Below are 21,554 nucleotides of genomic sequence, written 5' to 3' on the forward strand. Positions count from 1 at the left end.
AGATAGGTACAACGATACAATGAACATTTATTATATGCCTAGTGTGTGCCAGTCTGTTTCCAGGATACAAAAAAATAGTGTCTACCCTTCAGGACTCACAGCCAGGTGGAGATAAGAGATGCATTCACAAATAAACCAAAGTAAAAAAAACTACACAGCTTAAGGAAGTTCATGAAAATCAAGTAAAGAGGGCCTTATATCTTTTGAGAGAGGTGGAGGCATGCAACTTGAAAGAGATCATTTGATCTGCATATGCAAAGTGAGTAGAGGCATTTTTACACAGAAAGAACAGTATGAATATAAATCCAGGCAACAAATAAAGTAATTTGGATGTTAAAAAACAAACTAGGCTGGGCTCAGTGACTCACGCCTGTAATCCCAGCACTTTGGGAGGCTGAGGCAGGTGGATCACTTGAAGTCAGGAGTTCGAGACCAGCCTGGCCAACATGGTGAAACCCTGTCTCTACTAAAAAAATACAAAAATTAGCCGGGTATGGTGGTGTGCACCTGTAGTCCCAGCTACTCAGGAGGCTGAGGCAAGAGAATCACTTGAACCCAGAAGGTGGAGGTTGCAGTGAACTGAGATTGTGCCACTGCACTCCAAACTGAGCGACACAGCAAGACTCCATCTCAAACAGAAAAACAAACAAAACTGGTAGCTTCAGAATCACCTCTGAAACAATGGCTAACAGTAATAAACAATTCTATTATCTGGGGAACAAAGTTGCCTTGAACAATAACCAGATCCCAGATTTTCCAACCTAGGGCCACTGCATTAACCACCAGAATGGCTCGTCTGTTGGTAATCCTCTTGGTATATACCACAAAGACTACAAATGTTTGCTGTATATGCAAGGGAACTTTGCTGTGCAATATCAATGAGAGCTCTAAGAATGACAGAGTCAAGAATAATCTGGCCCTGTATGTCCTGGGGGAAGATGGGTAAGAGAATGAGTACTGACTGCGTGCTGACCATGCAGTATGCTAGACGATGGACATGTATTATCTCATTTAGTCCTCAGCAATCATGTGAGGCAGATGTTGTCCACCCCATTTTACAAACTGAAGTTCAGAGCGGTAATAACTGCCAAGGAACATGCAGCAAAAAGGGCAGAGCCAGAGTATGAGCATGAGTACACGTATTCCTAAAGTCCCTGCTCCACCTTCTATACCACACCAGATTAAAAACAGTACTAAAACTATCAGGCTTCACACTTCTGGAGCCAACTAATAAAAGAAAATATGGAAGAGATAACTGAAATCTACAGGTAATGGGAAACCTTAACCTCAACCATTAATTTTGGCACGTACTATCACCAAACACTGTAAAAAACGGCTGACTGGAAATAACATTGGTCTGCTTCCTCTCTCCTTCCTTTCCCTTCTGCTGTAGAGCTATCAGACATGGGCCAGCAGATAAGAAGATGGCCTGGAGAGGCTTAGGGAACTGGGAGTAAAGGGAACTAGGAGCAAAAAAACCTAACTGAGGGGAGAACTACTCTAAGAGAGCAGAAGCACAAATTGAACAAAATAGAAGAGTTTATGTCCTTAAAAATATGGACCATTTAATTTCTGTACCAAGCTGCGCTGGATCCTTAATTCCTTCATTTTAAGTTTTCTTCGATCTTCTAAAGAGAACTCCACTATTGGTCTCTGTCAGAGGGAGACAGAATGCCATTCATTAGACTTCTTAATCTGTGCATGCAATGAGCTGAGTTTTTCCCCTTCACACATCCTCCCCCAACCCACCTTTTTTTTGTCCACTTGCCACTGTTTCCCACCCCTCAAATGTCAGAGGACACTAGGCATAAAGGAGAAGGCTGGTTTCCTGCAAGTGGTCCTAAGGGAACAAGTCTCCCCAGAGGACAAGGCCTACCTTCAGAGGCCCAAAGATTTCTGGATTGTTGTTGATGAGGCGGAGGGCTTTCAGGGCATGCTCGTGCTCTTGGAACTCCGCAAAGGCGTAGCCCAGGGACTGACCCTTCATGTTCCCATGAACTCCTTTGAGGTCTCGCATCACTCTACACTATGAGTAGAGCAAGAAAAAAATCAGTAATTACAGAATGAGAAGACTTGCCTGACATGAACTGCTTTAATAGAGTCAATAAGAAATCAGGCTATTGGGTGGGCATGGTGGTTCATGCCTGTAATCCTAGCACCTTGGGAGGCCGAGACAGGAGGATTGCTTGAGGCCAGGAGTTTGAGACCAGCCTAGGCAACATGGCAAAACCTTGTCTCTACAAAAAATACAAAAAATTAGCCAGTGTGGTGGCACCTCAGCTACTCAAGAGGCTGAAGCAGGAGGATCACCTGAGCCCGGGGAGGTTGAAGTTACAGTGAGCCATGATGGCACCACTGCACTCCAGCCTGGGCAACAGAGTGAGACCCTGTCTCAAAAAAAAAAAAAAAAAATCAGGTTATTGAAACATAATCTTCATTTATACCACCATCACAAAAATCACACTGGAATAACACTTATGTGTGTCCATCTTATTAGAATTTACCTACTAAGACCATCAAACAGATTAAAATTGTATTTTCTTGCTTTCTACTAGCTTATAGACATCAACAGAGACCTAAAAAAAAGCACATAAACAAAACTTCCTAAAGAAAATTTATAAAGCGGTATGGATGTTAAAAAACAAACACAATACAAACACAACTGTTTGCGATACATACAAATTGAGAGGTACATGGTATTTTAAGCGTGTAACAAGTTGCTGCCGAGGATGGAGTACTGTCCACAGATCTTACAACTGAAAAAAGCCCTCAGGAAGGAAATTATTGAAGAAGGAAAGGAGGAAGGCCTGATGGCTTTAGATAAGAAAGACATTTCAAGCATAGGAAAAAGTCTCTCCAACATACAGGGTCAGAAATATAGGAAGAAGTTTCAGCTCTCTTTGCTTGCAGCTCAGATCCTCTCTAGTGTGGTTTTCCCTTAAATCCTTAAGCCAGATGTAGTAAACATCTGGGGCACCAAAGTATGGTAGGATTTTTCGAGAAAACTGATCATTTACATGCCATTACTACCAAAGCTGTCGTTCTCATGTAATGGAAACAGCTAAGTATTGGGGATGCATGGATGCCGCATTTAGTTTATGTCCAGTGTCCACTCTGTGCCTAGAACTGTCATACACTGTAAGGGAATCAAGAGAAGCATATAATGAAGATCCTGTTCTCAAGATGCTTACCATCTTACTGAGACACTATACATACAAATAGGAAAGAATTAAGAGGAAAATTCAACATAATGCAAAATATTCTAGAATAAACATAAATTTCTCTAAATTATGACAGGTGTTAAATATGTAGGCACTAAGTATTCGGATGATAGGAGAAATTACACAACTGTCCCTCCCCTATAACCAGTAACACTGAGCAGTTTTACTAACTGTGGTGTCAGATATGTGCTGATATATTCACATTCTCTCAAGTAATCTCCCAAATACCAATCCATACATTTTGAAGAGGTTTTCAGGGATTAGGAAAACAGTTTATGGTAGCGAAACAGAGTAAAGCAGGCCCAAAATATTGGCAATGGTACTTTTAAAATAAATATTGACTAAGAGATGACTATGTACCAGGTACTACACCAAGGATTGGGGATAATGAGATAACGCTTGCCTCAAAAACTCAGTCTAGTGGGGAGAAGTGACTGACAGACAGTTTGAGGCCAGGGTAATAGTAACCAGTATGACAGAGATATGCAAGGCCAGGCCCAGTGGTTCACTGTTATAATTCCAGCACTGTGGGAGGCCGAAGCAGGGGAATCATCTGAGCTCAGGAATTTGCGACCAGCCTGGGCAACATGACAAAACCCTGTCTCTACCAAAAACAAGAAATTAGTCAAGCATGGGCTGGGCGAGGTGGCTCACGCCTGTAATCCCAGCACTTTGGGAGGCCGAGGCAGGCGGATCACTTGAGGTCAAGAGATCGAGACCATCTTGGCAACATGGTGAAACCCCGTCTCCACTAAAAATACAAAAATCAGCTGGGCGTGGTGGTGCATGCCTGTAGTCCCAGCTACTCGGGAAGCTGAGGCAAGAGAATCGCTTGAACCCGGGAGGCGGAGGTTGCGTTGAGCCGAGATCATGCCACTGCACTCCAGCTTAACGACAGAGTGAGACTCCGTCTCAAAAAAAAAAAAAAAAAAAAGAAAGAAAGAAAGAAATTAGCCAGGCATGGTGGTGTGTAACTATAGGCCCAACTACTTGGGAGGCTGAGGTGGGAGGATTGCTTGAGCTTGGGGGGGGGGGGGGTGGCGGTTTGCAGTGACCCGAGATGGTGCCACTGCACTCCAGCCAAAGACAGAGCAAGACCACATCTAAAAAAAAAAAAAGAAAGGAAGAAAAGAAAAAAAAGAAAAGAGAAATACGCAAAGGGGAATGTGGAGGCAGAAAAGTTCTGTACTCACACAGAGTCTAACCAAGTTGGTGTGAACCCAGTGTTTTTCTAATTCAACTGCTGAACATCTACATGGCTTCCTGTGTTGACCACAAGGCATAGGGGACTCTGAACACAGGGTAAGAATCTAACTAGGAGTAAAATACTCTTCCAAAAAGCAAAGCAGATTATTTTCTCTGCAAGAAAATTCACATGATAGCACAAAGTATAATGCTAAGCACACAACAGGCATTTAATAAATGCTTGCTAAATTAATTCATGCAGACAGAGATTTCCTTGCATTCTGCTGTAATTCAGTCAGATGTAAAAGACAATTCTTAGAAGAAAAAGAACAAAACCAAGAAACTGCTAAACTCAGCTATGCATGCTGACAACATGTCCAGAAGAAAGTCTGTTGATGGCCCGGCACAGTGGCTCACGCCTGTAATCCTAGCACTTTGGGAGGCCGAGGTGGGCAGATCACTTGAGGTCAGGAGTTCGAGACCAGCCTGGCTAACATGGTGCAATCCCTTCTCTACTAAAAATACAAAAATTAGCCAGGCGTGGTGGCGCACGCCTATAGTCCCAGCTATTCAGGGGGCTGAGGCAGGAGAACTGCTTGAGCCCAGGAGGAGGAGGTTGCAGTGAGTCAAGATTGCACCGCTGCACTACAGCCTGGGCAACAGAGTGAGACTTCGTCTCAAAACAAACAAACAAAATCTGGCACCACAGCCTGAGGGAAATGCTTGATCTGACCCAAGATCAGAATGAAAGCTCCAAAATGGTCAGGGCCACGTCTCACCTCCTTGATGCGCACCCCTTTCTCTCCACTAGTAGCACTCAGCAGCAGCTTTCTGAGCTGTTTGTCATCTACAGCCTTTGGGAGATTGTGCAGGCAGAGCCTGGTTCGGGAGACAAAGATATTCTGGTCCTTGAGTTTCTGATGCTTCAGCAGCTCAAACTGAAAGAACAACCAATGGTTAACAGTACAACCCACTCTTTTTAAGAGGTAGGCTCATAATTCTCCAAAAGGAAAGAATTATGATCCTCATCCCATAACCACACATATAGAAAACGGATGGAAACTGCCCACACCGCAGCTTTACAATGCCTAGTATAGGGAAAGAAAAGTCCAAGGGAACAAGATGGTGGGTGGGTAATAGTAAAATCATAGGCTCTGGAGACCCATCCCTAACTGGAGAAATTACATAAAATTTTAAAGCCACAATTTTTCATCTATAAAACGAAACAGTAGATCAAGGTCTCTGAGCACTGAGGTGAGGCCAAAATGAGATAATATAAGGCTGGGCAGGGTGGCTCATGCCTGTAATCCGAGCACTTTGGGAGGCCAGGGCAGGCAGATCACCCGAGGTCAGGAGTTCAAGATCAGCCTGGCCAACATGGTGAAACCCTGTCTCTACTAAAAATACAAAAATTAGCCAGGCATAGTAGTGCATGCCTGTAATCCCAGCTACTCGGGAGGCTGAAGCAGGAGAATCGCTTGAACCTGGGAGCCGGAGGTTGTGGTGAGCCAGGATCGTGCCATTGCACTCCAGCCTGGGCAGCAAGAGTGAAATTCGGTCAAAAAAAAAAAAAAATTCCCTAGCTCAAAATGTAGCTCAGAACAAACAACAAATAATACTGTGATTAATATCTATGCCCAGTCCTCATCTACCCACCAGCTCAACTGATTATCTAATCCTTCCAAAAGGAAATGGAAGTTATTCAAAGAATACTTGACAGAATGCTGTGTTGTCTCAACTCTGCCACCCTGAGGCAAAGGAGTATCAATGACCACAGAACCATATTTTGCTCTTAGAGCAATACCCTCAACTATGCTGCCACAAAACCCCAGTTCCTGCGTGATCTGTGTCTAAAATGAAATGAAAGATGACATTCTTCTCCCAATTAGTTTTTTTTAAACCAAGTTGGTAGAAAAAAGTTTTCAATTAAAAGTTTTTCTTTTGTCAAGTCTTCTCAGTCCTGCTGCTTCTTGTTTGGTAAAAGTACCAACAGATCACAAAATAAACAAATCCCTTGGAAAACGACTATTAAAGGAACATCTGAAAAGGCTATCATGTTTAAGTTCAACAGACTATTTTTCTGTCAGGAAAAGCTGTGCCTGCTGTGAATTTATAATGCATACCTATCATTGAATGAGCTTTTTGCTAACAAAATTAGTTTTAAATTAAATATGTCATTATTGCACTGTGATCAGACAAGGGTATATAGTGCCCTTATAAAATTGAGGCTTTAAAATTTTCTGTAATTTCTCCAGTTAAGGATGGGTCTCCAGAGCCTATGATTTCTAGGTGTTCACTACCACAAAAGTTGAAAACACTAGTGCAGAATCTGTGCCCACTGAAAAAAAGACGCACTGCCTCCTGCTGTCATTACACTCTCACCCCTGTTCCTCATCTGCATGTTAAGGTTCCATAGCTAATTCTGTTCACAGTTATGCATCTTTACCCTTCTAGGCTGGCTTGGCTTTTTGAAAGTAAGTTATATGGGAAAAAGTAAAAATTACTGGGAACATTACCAAGCAGCAAAGGAATATGAGTTATCGGTTAACATCGGAAACATCCATAAAATGGAGTTTTTCTAAAATGATTTTATAATCTGGAGATTATAACTCCTCCCAACTGACAGCTACCCCTTTCAAGAGCCATATCTTCTCCCTTCTCTAATAACTCCAGCTCATTCTGATCTTCCTCTTTTACATTATTCTGTGTTTATACTGACACCTAATTACATGTAGCAATAGCCTCTGACTGTCTACTGCATGATGTAGCAGCATGTGTTCAGCAAACATTTACTGCCAAGCACTAGGGAAACAAATAATAAGACACAGTTCTTTTATACCAGCATACAAAACAGATAGAATACTATGTATGATGTTGGGTTACTTGCTATTTCACCTATGTGCTTTTCTCCCTAACAGGGCAATAAGTATGGTCTGTGACCATACTGGGCTCTTTGATGAGCACATCTAGCATTCGATAACTATTTTTGATTGATTTATAGGCCACGCAGAACGTGAAGGTCAATGCCTAATCTACTCACCCGTTCTCTTTTGGCCATATCAGCAGCACTCACACCCTCTGCAGCCTTCGTCCCAGCACGAATCACTGCAGAAAGAGGGAAAAAGGCCAAGACATCAACAAGGGAATTTTCACTGAGCAACAAGAGGAATGTGATTTGAATGATGCAAACTCTTTGTACAGGGCCCAGAGGACTATCTTGGCCAGGACACGGTGGCATTTGGTTAGGTCCAGAAATAGGCTACAGGGCTAAGTTCTGGGCTCAGAGCTGCTCTCAAGGACTAAAACTCTAAACATTTTGTGATTTTATTCCTCTTCTCCTTCTCTCCCCTCAAAGAATCTTCACGTACATGCCCAAAGTCAGAAAGAAAGGCCTAGAAGAAGTATGGAACATAAGTACATTTTGGGCATTTAGAATGCACAATGTTCCACCTATAATCTGCCCTTGGAACTTAACTTTGCTGTTCCTTATATACTTGAGGTCCATTACTAAACAGTGAGATAAGCCAGCCGAAAACAGTTATGTTGCCATAGAAGGCTGGTGTCGAAGGCTAAAGGACATTACTAGTACAGGCTGTGAAGCTATGGAGGAGGTGAGCTGATAAATGCTGTGTGACCTAGAAGAATTTTTTTAAAAATTTAAAGCTAATTTTTTTGTCTTTCTGACACTAAAGGAAAGTATTGGGTGCACATTTTAAATCCATGAATAATCCAAAAGAGTAATTTTAGTCATAATGAAAACCTCTTATTAGAAATGATGACAAGAAGCAAAGGTATTTTGAGTTCTTCCTCCCCCTTTGCCTTGCCAATCCTCTATTGAAAAAGACTAAAGGCAACCAGGCAGAAAAGATAATGGGACAGTTAATCCACAAAAACGAGTGAAGGTTTACTAATAGAGAGCCACATTTATTAAAGTGGAATGATCATATAACACTGTTAAAGAGAACATTTGGGTTTTTAATTTGAAACATGCTTCCAGGCATACTATTGCTTGATCAATGATTATGGCACAGGGCCAGGTACTTAGAAGTGTGGGTTACATCTCCCTACTCACAGCCTTCTCGGGCCAGATAGAGATTCCGGGTGCCAGTCGGCTTCTTCACCTTCGTCGTCTGAAGCTTTGCAGCCTCATCACGGGTCACCGCCAAGTCAACCTTGAGCTGCCGGCCATCCAGTTTAAGCCCACCAGCCTGTAACAGATCACAACCCTTTCTTAAAACACATAATGGCCGGGCACAGTGGCTCACACCTGTAAACCGAGCACTTTGGGAGGCTGAGGCAGGTGGATCACCTGAGGTCAGGAGTTCAAGGCCAGCCTGGCCAACATGGTGAAACCTCGTCTCTACTAAAAATACAAAAATTAGCCGGGCATGGTGGTGTGCGCCTGTAATCCTACTCAGGAGGCTGAGGCAGGAGAATGGCATGAACCTGGGAGACGGAGCTTGCAGTGAGCGGACATCGCGCAACTACACTCCAGCCTGGGAGACAGAGCGAGACTCCACCTCAAAAAAAATAAAATAAAATAAAAAAATAACAAAACAAAACAACACATAATGAGTAGAAACTAGAAACTAAGCACCTGACAAGAACACCACAGAAAGGGATACAGCAAACATCAATTACGCTATGGAAGCCAAGCCCTACGACGTTTCAGCTCAGCTAGCTACAAATGGATCACTGGGCCTCACAATATTTAGTATAGCTGTGCAAAAGGCCACATGTGTATTTCAGGCAGTCAGCAGTAAAGAATTTATTTTCTGGGAGTTGATTAGTCCCAAAGTAGACCCAAACTGAGGAAAATTATCTGTAACCAGGCAAATGTCTAGTATTGTAAAGTAAGCTAGTGAAATAGTAGAGTACTTACTCAAGAGGACTTAAGAAATAACAGCAATATTAGATAACATTATACTCGACTATAGAACAAATGGAGTAATTCTCCATCACCCACACACATTCTCTCTCAAACATCTACTCTACTTCACAGACGACCTTAATACCTCATCCTAGTCTTTCATGTTATCAGTCTAGGATAGAGGCTGACACAGACAGCAAGCAACAAATATCAGATACGTTATTATCCCCTTTTCCTCACCTATGAAGTAGAGATCATAATTCTGCCTACCTCAAAGGGCTGATGTAATGATTAAGATAATGCATGTAAAGTTCAGTGCCTAACACAAAGTGCTAAATAAGTGTTAGTTTTATTATTACTGACAAGAAAAATAATAATAAAGCTTTGTATAAATACCAGATGTTGCCCCTAAGAGCCAAACTGCCTCCTGTGTTATAAGGTAAAGGAAATATCTTCCTTACCTCATTCTCTGGAGAAGCAGCTAGAAGGCATTTCTGAGCTGCTTCTTGAGTCATGAACTGGGCAAATGCACAACCTGCACAAGGAGACACAATTCAGTGAGATCCCAAACTCCCACAGATAAACCAAAGACAACATTGCAAATGGCAACAGCCTGACACAGAGTGGAAGGGATAGGTGGCATCCATTTATTAAGTACAGCCATGTAGCCGGGTGCAGTGGCTCACACCTGTAATCCCGGCACTTTGGGAGGCCGATGCGGGCAGATCATGAGGTCAAGAGATCAAGACCATCCTGGCCAACACAGTGAAACCCCGTCGCTACTAAAAATACAAAAAATTAGCCAGGCGTGGTGGCGGGCACCTGTAGTCCCAGTTACTTGGGAGGCTGAGGCAGGAGAATGGCGTAAACCTGGGAGGCGGAGTTGCAGCGAGCCAAGATAGTGCCACTGCACTCCAGCCTGGGCAACAGAGCAAGACTCCGTCTCAAAAAAAAAAAAAAAAAAAAGTACAGCCATGTACTTGCATAAGGACGTTTTGGTCAGTGACAGACTGCATATACAACAGTGGTCCCAGAAGATTACAATGGATCTGCCCTATACAGTTGTACCATTTTTTATCTTTTATACTGCATTTTACTATACCTTTTCTATGTTTAGAAATACTTAGATACACATATACTTACCATTATGTTACAACTGCCTACAACATTCAGTATAACAACATGCTGTGCTGTACAGGTTTGTAGCCTAGGAGCACATATGACCTATGTGTGTAGTAGGCCATACCACCTAGGTTTGTATAAGTACACTATGACATTCACACAATGACAAAATCACCAAATAATGAACTTTGCAGAATGTATCCCCATCATTAAGTGACGCATATTGCACTATGACACAGGCACTATGTTAGGTACCAAATAATCAAGACAAAGATACCACTGCTCTTAATGAAATTTTATTATTACTTCCTTCATCTGTTCTAATTCTTCTTAGAACTTTAGTCTCATGATCTCTCTTAATAAGAAATATCCATGTGAAGGCTGGGTGTGGTGGCTTACACTTGTAATCCCAGCTCTTTAGGAGACCAAGGCAGGAAGATCGCTTAAGCCCAAGAGTTAGAGCCTAAGCAACATGACAAAACCCTGTCTCTACGAAAGAAAAAAAAAAATTGGCTGGGTGTGGTGGTGCATGCCTATAGTCCCAGCTACCGAGAAAGCTGAGGTGGGAGGATGACCTGACCTCGGGAGGTCAAGGCTGCAGTAAGCCATGATCACTGCACTACAGCCAGGGTGACAGAGCGAGACCTTGTCTCAAAAAAAAGAAAGAAAAGAAAAGAAAAGAAATATCCACATGAAATGGTAGAGAAATTCCAGCCTAACACTTAATTCAGCATCACTTATGAAGTACCTATTAGAGGACTAAAAAATAAAGCAGGAACCACTTAACCCTGAACTTAATTACAGATCTCACTGTCACACAGTCACTTGGGAGGCATCAGATATGGGCAGATCTGCTTCTCAGAGTAAAAGTCTCTGTCCTCTACTATATGAATATAGCAGGGAACCAGAAAGCCAGGAGCTCAATTCTTGGCTCATACTCTAGAATCTCCATAAGGCATGCCTTTCCTTGATTAGATGCAGGACCAATTAACCCATCTCTATTTCTGCTATTGACAAAAAAACAATTTTTTTTTTTTTTGAGACGGAGTTTCGCTCTTGTTGCCCAGGCTGGAGTCTAATGGCTCAATCTTGGCTCACTGCAACCTCCGCCTCCTGGGTTCAAGTGACTCTTCTGCCTCAGCCTCCCAAGTAGCTGAGATTACAGGCAGGTGCCTCCATGCCCAGCTAATTTTGTATTTTTAGTAGAGACAGGGTTTCTCCATGTTGGTCAAGCTGGTCTCGAACTCCCAACCTCAGGTGATCCGCCTGCCTTGGCCTCCCAAAGTGCTGGGATTACAGGTGTGAGCCACTGCACCCGGTCAATAAAAAACAACTTTTATAAGCAAAGAAAGTAAGTTTACCTTTCAGTAGATTCCAAAAAAGAAATACAAGTTTCATAATTTTGTTTAGTATTCCTTTAAATTTTAAATATTCTCTCAGATGCTGCCATATTTCCTAGAGCTAGTGGGGGCATTGATCTTCTGCCTCCTATAAAAATGAATGGCACAGACTAACTGAAAGGACACATGCGCCAGGCCAACACAAAGGTCACCATCTAGAAGCTTCTGTGTCCCCTCCTGCCTCCTATCTTCCACTCACATCTTTATTATAGCACTACTCAGGTGACATCTTCCCAAACAGAATGAATACCTCAGGAAAAATGACCACAATTCTTATCTGTTTCTATATCCCTAGCACCTACTATAGTGTACAGCATTAACAGATACTCAATAGAAAGAAACAAATAAGGAAATATGGGGAAAATGTTTCTAATAGGCAGATTCAAATGAATCTAATTAGATTGAATATGAAGAAAATGGGTGCTTCTCTCTGAATGGGTAAGAATTTTATCATTGGAGTTTCCAGAGTCAGTACTGGGTTCAGTCTTAACATTTCCCTAAAAGACTGCAGTTAATACTTAGCTCTTCCAGGTAGTGAAATGGCATGCTGAGAGGGATAAACTACAGGAGCAGCACGAGGCTGCATGAGTAGGCAAAAAAGGTATCAGAAAAATTTAATGAGCTAGGGAAGGACAATACATTTTTTTTAAATGATTAAAACTATGCTTATTAAGATCATGAACTCTGTTAACATTAATAGACCGCAAGGGATATCTAGTCAGTCAATTGTAGGCTTCATTCTAAAAGTATTAACCCAATATACTACTGCACTAAAAAAGAGACAAAAGATACTACCACCAAAGTAAAGCAATATCATACCACTAACTTGGAACATTCTATGCAATTCAAATTGTCTAAAAACATTTTAGAAATGGAAAAGATCCAAGTAGTATAACTAAACATGAGAGCTGCAGGTACCTTAAGTGATTACTCAAACCCACTCATTTTACAGATGAAAACCTGAAGCCAACGGTAGTTAAATGATTTGCCAAAAATCACCCAGTCTATCTGTAGCATAGCTGGGATTAGATCTCTAACTCTGTTCCACAGTGCTGCCTTATTCACATCTTTTTTTTTTTTTTTTTAAAGAGATGGAGGCGGTCTTGTTCTGTCTCACAGTCTCGAGTGCAGTGGCAATCATAGCTCACTGAAGCCTCTAACTCCTGGGCTCCCCGCAGCCTCCTGAGTAGCTGGGATTTCAGGCACACACCAGGTCTTAAACTTTTTTTTTTCTTTTTGAGACGGAGTCTTGCTCTTGTTGCCCAGGCTAGAGTGCAGTGGCACGATCTCGGCTCACCACAACCTCCCCCTCCCAGGTTCAAGCAATTCTCCTGCCTCAGCCTCCCGAGTAGCTGGGATTACAGGCATGCGCCACCACGCCCGGCTAATTTTGTATTTTTAGTAGAGATGGGGTTTCTCCATATTGGTCAGGCTGCTCTTGAACTCCCGACCTCAGGTGATCCGCCTGCCTCAGCCTCCCAAAGTGCTGGGATTACAGGCGTGAGCCACCGCTCCCGGCCAGGTCTTACTTTTTTTTAGCTGAGTAAAAATCAAAAGTGATTAGGTTCTATCAATGTGAAAGATAAAAAGGCTTAGAATGGAGGTAGGTTCTTAAGCTGTGGATAGGCTCAAGAGAGCCCACACAGCCTCCGAAGCAGCATTTTTCTAAGGAGAGGATTCACAGCTTTTGCTAGATCTCAAACGAATCATGAATCACAATAAATTAAGAACTTAACGCCGGGCGCGCCTGTAATCCCAGCACTTTGGGAGGCCAAGGCGGGTGTATCACAAGGTCAGGAGTTGGAGACCATCCTGGCTAACACGGTGAAGCCCCAACTCTACTAAAAATACAAACACAAAATTAGCCGGGTGCAGTGGTGGGCACCTGTAGTCCCAGCTACTCAGGAGGCTGAGGCAGGAGAATGGCGTGAACCCAGGAGGCGGAGCTTGCAGTGAGCCGAGATGGCGCCACTGCACTCCAGCCTGGGCAACAGAGTGAGACTCCGTCTCAAAAAAAAAAAAAAAAAAAAAAAAAAAGAACTTAGTGCTTTAGGAGAATGACTGCAATAGGTGAAATCAAAGATTATGAATGGGTTGGAAAGATGTTTACCTAACAACAGTATACTAGAACGAAGAATGGTCAATGCTTAAAACTCAAAAGAAATAGCTTTTGGAAAAAAAAAGAAATCTAAGGCAGCACTCCTGCAACATAGAGTTTTCCTTCTAACGGCTGACACTGCAACAGAGTTTTTCTGTCAGCTTCTACCTCTAACAAAAGCAACAGGAAAAAAAAAGATCCTGGTAATTTCAAGCAATGTGGAATGATTAGTACCTATGAGATACTATCACATTTGAAATGCAAAGAGCAAAAATGGAATTCATTACCCTAAAGTAAATAAGCAAGGGATTAAAAAGCTTAGACAAAATTATGGCTAGCAGCACCATTAAAGATGCTGAGTGTGACACCATTAAAGACCAGGATGTCCCTGGTCCTTTTTTTTTTTTTTTTTTTTTTTCGTGGAAACAAGAGTCTTGCTCTGTGGCTCAGGCTGGAGTGCAGTGGCATGATCTCGGCTCATTGCAACCTCCACCTCCCGGGTTCAAGCAATTTTCCTGTCTCAGCCTCCCAGGTAGCTGGGACTACAGGTGCACGCTGCTAATTTTTTGTATTTTAGTAGAGACGGGGTTTCACCGTGTTGCCCAGGCTGGTCTCAAACTCCTGAGCTCAGGCAATCTGCCTGCCTCAGCCTCCCAAAGTGCTGGGATTACAGGCGTGAGCCAGCGTGCCCGGCGTCCCTGGTACTTTTATAGAACCCAGAAACCTGGGCTGGATGGACTGTGAACCCCTCAAAATGGCACACATTATGCTCTCGTAACCTAGTCAGTGCCCACGGCAGTGGTCTCAACCCTTTTAGGGCCTGGCCAGCTGACAACACATACCTTTAGAATGCTCTGTGTCTGGATGCAAGACAATGCGGACATATTTGAGTTCTCCAAACTGTTGGAGAAGCTCCCCAAGTTCTTCTTCTTCTGAGTCAAAGGACAGATTTCTATGGAAGATAACCAGATGATCACAAGAAAAGTCAATTACATAAGTGAGATCCTATGTTCCAGGACAATGTAAGTGAGTTAGATATCAACTCTCCCTTGTTCAGAAATAGCACTAATACATAGGGATGGCCCCCAGTGACCCTTGGCCCCAACTGACTTTCCTTTGTCAATGAGGTTCTCTTTCTCAGGAATCTGAAAACGTAAACAGACACATACAAAGACCAGAAACTGCAGGTAAAGATTCATTTCTAAACAGCGGTGCCCCCCACTAGGGAAACTTCTGGGGTGCTGGAAATTTCTACATCTTGATCTGGGTGGTGGCTACATGGATGTATACATATAAAATTTTAACTGAGCTATATGCTTAGATTAATGTACTTTACAGAATCTATGTTATACCTTAAAAAAAAAAAAAAAAGTGGTGTCCCCAGAGAAAAGACCCACAGCCTCCATCACCTAGGGCCCCAGAACTGCCCAGATTTTCACCCTCTTCCTGAGGCTTGCTCTTTGACAACTTTGATTCTGAAACCCTCTTTTTCCACTTAAATTGACCAAAATTCATTTCTCTTACTACAAACTAGAAGACTCACAGCAGACTAGTGAGAAAAGTCAAATTATCTCTCTTAATTAGCCATTTTTTCCTCTGTGTTGCTATTAAATCCAGGTTTCAATTAAAATCTTACTAAAGTCAGAAAAATCCCTCAAAATAGTAACACAAAAGCAAATACAGTAAAATTTACTAAGTTCAAAAAAAGACAACTACTTACTTCTCTCGATGGGATTAAAAAAATGTTGGAAGGAAATTTTGTTGTCCTAAAATTTCAACACAGTATAAAGATTCCTCATTTCCCCAACTATGTAAATCCTTCCAGGGGTAAGCAAAACAGTCCCTAATAAGTATCTGTAATTTTACTTCTCTTATATGCACTGAATAGCCCCATGAATGATTCTATTTCATGGATAACCCAGATAAAAAAGGTTTTCTGCAATAAAACATATCCTAGCTACATTATTTCTTTTAATTTGCCTTATCTAAGATAGACATAGTTTTCTCTCTTCCACCCCTTTATTTCCCTAAGTTCTTTATTAAAAGGTGTATAAGGAATGGTATCCTTAGTACTGAGGTCACAGGCTTCTTCTTCACTGTGACATTTCTTCCTTCCTGTTAGACAGATCCTCCGCAAATACAAAATCATTTATATGGCAGTTCCAAATAATACAATTTTTAAAACACATGGAAAGACATGCAGTTAGGTGAGAAAATGGGCTTCAGTATAGCATGTATAAATTCATCTCTGTGAATCTTTATGATGTGGGCATGTAGTGTAGATGTTCTCTGAGTAGTGATTAAGGTTAATTTTTTTGACTTTTTGCTCATGTATTTCATCAATTTCCTAGAATGAACACAAATTGTATAAGAAAACAAATTTTTTTTTTTTTTTAAGACAGAGTCTTGCTCTGTCGCCCAGGCTGGAGTGCAGTGGCACAATCCCAGCTCACTGCAACCTCCACCTCTGCGTTTTAAGTGATTCTCGTGCCTCAGGCCTCCCGAGTAGCTGGGATTACAGGCACACACCACCATGCATGGCCAATTTTTGTATTTTTAGTAAAAATGGGGTTTCACCATGTTGGCCAGGCTGGTCTCGAATTGCCCTCAAGTGATCCATCTGCCTCAGCCTCCCACGGTGCTGAGATTACAGGCCTGAGCCACCGCACCCAAGAAAATAATTCTAAAAGATTGTACAAGAAGATAAAATATATAACTCTAAAATCGGATGCAAATGACCCTAGTACACTGGTACTTAAGGACTAGAAGGCAGGCCTGAGGTATACTGAAGACATCCTGACCTCATAAAAGCAGCAATCTATTGCAGTCAGTAGAGCTAAAACACAACAGCAACACGAAATAAAGCCTATTGCCACCCCCACTCCCACCTAGTTTTCCTGGAAACAGATGAGATGCCTTACTTTATTCTGGACACTGCATCAGAAGATAAGTTAGGCATAAAGACAGAAATCATTTGAGACAAGCAGTGTCAATCCTCTCCAGCACTCCCCCTAAAACAAAGGCCGGAAGCAAGATGTTTCTAACAGTTGAACTGATTTCTTCCAAATGATGCCAACCCAATTACAAAGCATGAAATCTAAATGAAAACGTGATGTCAGGACCCATGCTATCTGTCTTCTGTGTTATAGTTCTGATTGTCCTACATTTCTCATTGTTTAGTATGTTCCTGGGACCAGATGTGCTTGATCTAATTTCTGGGCTAGGTAACAGAACTAGTGCCAAAAAGAGAAGAAGAAGGAAGAGAGATCTATGAAGACCACGCAAAAGCAATTCTGGAGGCAGAAAGACATACCTGATAAAAACAGTTTTCCCTTCATTCACATCAGAGGGTAATTTCCTCTTCTTTTTGTTTGAGACTTGCACAGCTAAGGTAAAAAGAAAAACAACAAACTGAAAGAGATTAGTGTAAGCCACATGACAAAGAGCTAACTTCTTAAGTACATAAAGATAAGCCTGGCGCAGTGGCTCATGCCACTTTGAAAAGCCCAGGCGGGCTGATCACCTGAGGTCAGGAGTTCGAGACCAGCCTGGCCAACATGGCAAAACCCTGTCTCTACTAAAAATACAAAAATTAGCCAGGCGTGGTAGCAGGCACCTATAGTCCCAGCTACTCAGGAGGCTGAGGCAGGAGAATCCCTTGAACCTGGGAGGTGGAGGTTGCAGTGAGCCAAGATTGAGCCATTGCACTCCAGCCACGGTGACAAGAGCGAAACAAAGTCTCAAAAAAAATAAATAAATAAAAATAAAAATAGACAAAGGACATGCTAAGTATATGAAAAGATGTTCAAACTCACTCTTAATTAAAGAAAACATAGCACAAGAAATGAGATACTATTTTTCACCAACAGATTGCAAAATCAAAAAGACTGATGGAATCCAATGTGGTAAGGTTATGGGAAAAAGACATTTCCATATACTACTATGACAGTGTAAACTTTCTGGAAATACTGTATAGGACATAGGAAACTTTGAGGAAAAAACATACACATACAATCACACACAAATTATAAAATACACTACATTTTGAATGTGTATATGTGTGTGTATATGTGTGCATTTTGCTTATAAATGTATTAAAATATCTATAGATACACAAGAAACAAATAACCTTGGTTGTCTCTGGGGAAGTTCCCTAAGAAGCTGAGGATCTGGGTATAAGGGAGACTCACTGTTTGTTTTCAAGAACAGACATATAAGCTTATACATACAAAGAAAATATCTGGAAGGATGCACAAGAAACAACAGTGATTACTTCAGGGAATTGTTAGGATTGGTGAGAAACTTCTACTTTGTGTATTACACTCTTCTGTGTTGTGTTTTAACTTTTTATCATTATCATTTATCTGTCCTATAAGTTTTTTAGGTGAAAGAATGGCATGAGACAGCTGACTGTGGGTTGTAGAATACAGGATCTCAGAGTCCCTTCAGTGTAGAAGCTTCTTTGATTCTAAGGTGTATACCATTCTCTCCTCACAGAAAAAGCTTATTTCCTCAGATTTCTTATATGGTCAAACCAACATGTCAGACTTACTGAAATGGAATCAGAATAAAAACAGCTGAAATAAAAATCTCCACCCAGACAAATCAAAGAACCAGTTATTAGCCATTTCTCATTCTGTAATGACCTGCCTTCCTCAATAAACAAGTTGAATTTATTCTCAATAAAGGTAGCAATAAGGATTGGCTAAAGTTTTACAACATGTTCAAAGAGGTCCTTGTTATGGAACGCACTGTGTTCCCCCAAAATTCATACATTGAAGCCCTAACCCCAAATATAATTGTATTTGGAGACAGAGACTTTAGGGAGGTAACTGAGGCTAGCTAAATGAGGTCTTAAGGTTGGGCCCTAATCTGATAGGATTGCTGTGCTTATAAGAAAAGAGAGACCAGAGTTCACTGTTACTTGTTCTCTCTCTCCCCTCGTCAAGCCACAAAGAAAAGGCCATGCAAGCACATAGCGAGAAGGCAGCAGTCTGCAAGCTAGGAAGAGAGCTGCACCCAAAATGAATCAGCTGGCACCTGGGACTTCTAGCCTCTAGAGCTGTGAGAAAATAAGTTTCTGCTGTTTAAGCCACCCAGTTTATGGTATTTTGTTATGTCAGTCCAAACTGACTAAACAGTTCTTTATCCCCATCTCAACTCCAAGGAGTTGTTTAAAATCTAGCTTGATGTTGAGATGGTTATATCATCTGTTTCATCTATATTATCTGTATAAGATGCTGTTTACCTGGTTATTCTATCAAGTTGGACAATCCAGAGAGAGGTAGAACCTCAGCATTAAGCTAGGTTTTCAATTCCCTAAGAATCTTAACCCTCAAACACCACTCCAAAACTCACTTAAAAAACAAAACAAACAAAAAGGAAACAACAAAAAAACCTTTGGAAGAAAGGAGTATAAAGGTTTCCTTTTCAGCATTTAAACATAAATTTGATAGAACACCTTAGAGTCCTATTTAAAAAGAGATCTAAGCAGAACTGATGCTCATTTCCGTAACTTCAGTAACTTTTTTAAAGTCTAAAGACATTTATGAAAATCCAAACAAACCTTTATCCTCTTGCTCCTCAGTGCTGGTATCACTCTGAGCCAGTTCCTCTCCATCATCAATACTATCGCTTTCCTCTAGGTCACTGTCCTCCTCAGAATGATCACTGCTTTTTGCAGGGGCTGGTCTCTTGACTGCTCTGCAATGGCACAGATCAGAACTAAGGAGGTGGGCTGACAGAGGGCCTATTCAATTTCATTACACATGTCAATTCTGCAATGATGCAGGCAGAAAAAGGAGAATTTTTCCTCTCGGAGACAATCTTGAATCTTCCTCTGCTGTCTCAGAACAGGATGAGCTGCTTACCTCTTCTGAATTTGCACAGGCTTGGTCACCTTTGATTCTATATTCTCTTCCTCTTCATCTTCATCATCAAAAACCCCATCTTCTTCATCATCATCATCGTCATCATCATCGTTTTCTTCCTCTTCCATATCCTCTTCCTCTCTGCCCTTCTTTTTAACTGATTCCTGATGTTTAGATTCATGGCTCTTTTCCTCACCTATGGAGGGAGGTAAAGAAAGGAGGAATTCATTTAATATCCAAAACAATGTTATTTTAACAAAAGTAACCAATACTCCAAGTTCTTGGTTTCATCGGTTTTACAGAATTTCGTATATTTTTCTTACTGCATATAACAGGAGAAAGTATAAAGAAAAGAAAAAGCAAAAACAGAAATAAACAAAACTCTCAACACCCAGATTCCTTTAGAGTTTGTCCCATTCATCAGTCTGAAGGTTCATCTGGCCCAGACTGAAAGAAGTGGCAACTGAGCCTCTCCAAGCAGTCTACCATTCGTACATCATAGCCAGCAAAATGCTCACTAGGGGGCAAAGCCAAGCCATGAACTTTAATCTCAGTGCGTTCTATTCTCTGAGACCCTGGTGGCTTACCAGCCAATTGTTTTCTAAATAAACCTCAAGTTTTAAGTTTCTCTATTCTTAATGTTCCATCACTCCTATTATGCACAGCCTGGAAACAACAGCAAGTAAAGGGGACAGTGAACTCAGGCTCACTCACAGCCACTCCCAGGAAGGGGCTTAGACTCAAAAGAGCCTAGGTTTTGGGACCAGAGCACCAAATGGTACAATATGAATTGACAAACAGACCTGGACTCACTTCTGAGCCAGCAGGAATTCAGAGTTTTCCCTGAAAGCCCAGTCTCATTCTTTTGGTTAATCTTCCACAATAGTCTTACTCTGATAAGCAGGTTCTCTTACACTTTTTTTTTGAGACGAAGTCTCGTTTTGTTGCCCAGGCTGGAGTGCAGTGGGGTGATCTCGGCTCACTGCAACCTCTGCCTCCCAGGTTCAAGAACCTGCCTCAGCCTCCCAAGCAGGTGGGATGACAGGCGCCCACCACCAAGCCCAGCTAATTTTTGTATTTTTAGTAGAGATGGGGTTTTGCATGTTGGCCAGGCTGGTCTCAAACTCCTGACTGCAAGCAATCCACCCAAAGTGCTGGAATTACAGGCAAGAGCCACTGCACCCAGCCTTTTTCTTACACTTTTATCATGAACACAGGAGTTGTTTCAATACTCTCACCCAGGTTATACAACGCCCCTACTCACCCAACACTACCACATCTTACCTATAGCAGAAACAGACTGTGTATCTTTATATTTATCCTTTGCCACGGCCCAATCCACAGCCACTGTCCGGCCTGTCAAGCAGAAAAGTGGCATCAGAAAGGCTCTCCTTTTAAAAACCCTACCTCTGTAAATGACCCCTAGTCATCACAGACAATAATGGAACCAGTGGAGACAAAGAAACTGCCAATTCAGGGAATGCTGGTCTTAAAATAAAGCTCCTAGTCACTGCCTACTCCTTTTAACCCTTAACCTTTTTATCAATGAACAGAAATTTTGCCTTTCTACATAGCCACCACACCTGGGATAAGATGGAGTAAAAAAATAAAGAATTAGAACTATGTTTCCAGTTAGACTATCAGGAATCAAAACAGGCATTCTGGAATCATCTGCACCCTACCTGGAAGCTAGGACATCTCTACGGCAATAACTTCTTTTTTTTTTTTTTGAGACACAGTCTCGCTCTGTCGCCCAGGCTGGAGTGCAGTGGTGCCATCTCAGTTCAC

The 21,554-nt window shown here is 41.8% G+C and overlaps 1 protein-coding gene across 2 annotated transcripts in view, besides 1 other annotated feature; it reads right to left on the reverse strand.

The window, feature by feature from the left end:
- Nucleotides 1–21,554, reverse strand: part of RBM28 (RNA binding motif protein 28) — a 46,224-nt gene that overhangs the window by 18,396 nt on the left and 6,274 nt on the right. For both annotated transcript variants that reach the window (NM_001166135.2, NM_018077.3), the window contains 11 exons: nt 21,051–21,122; nt 19,767–19,962; nt 19,463–19,599; nt 17,210–17,282; nt 14,739–14,848; nt 9,738–9,811; nt 8,479–8,614; nt 7,447–7,511; nt 5,186–5,344; nt 1,877–2,026; nt 1,579–1,653 (listed from right to left, as the gene is read on the reverse strand). In NM_001166135.2, coding sequence (NP_001159607.1) covers nt 1,579–1,653; nt 1,877–2,026; nt 5,186–5,344; nt 7,447–7,511; nt 8,479–8,614; nt 9,738–9,811; nt 14,739–14,848; nt 17,210–17,282; nt 19,463–19,599; nt 19,767–19,962; nt 21,051–21,122 — 1,247 coding nt within the window. The remainder of the gene's footprint in view (nt 1–1,578; nt 1,654–1,876; nt 2,027–5,185; nt 5,345–7,446; nt 7,512–8,478; nt 8,615–9,737; nt 9,812–14,738; nt 14,849–17,209; nt 17,283–19,462; nt 19,600–19,766; nt 19,963–21,050; nt 21,123–21,554) is intronic.
- Nucleotides 3,446–3,947: an enhancer, noted in NCBI's record as "H3K4me1 hESC enhancer chr7:127959579-127960080 (GRCh37/hg19 assembly coordinates)". NCBI's record gives its function as "activates a minimal SCP1, AML or CMV promoter by ChIP-STARR-seq in primed H9 embryonic stem cells {active_cell/tissue: H9 hESC(primed)}" and the evidence as "EXISTENCE:reporter gene assay evidence [ECO:0000049][PMID:30033119]".

The sequence above is a fragment of the Homo sapiens genome, chromosome 7 (assembly GCF_000001405.40).
Source record: "Homo sapiens chromosome 7, GRCh38.p14 Primary Assembly".
NCBI classification, from domain to species: domain Eukaryota; kingdom Metazoa; phylum Chordata; class Mammalia; order Primates; family Hominidae; genus Homo; species Homo sapiens.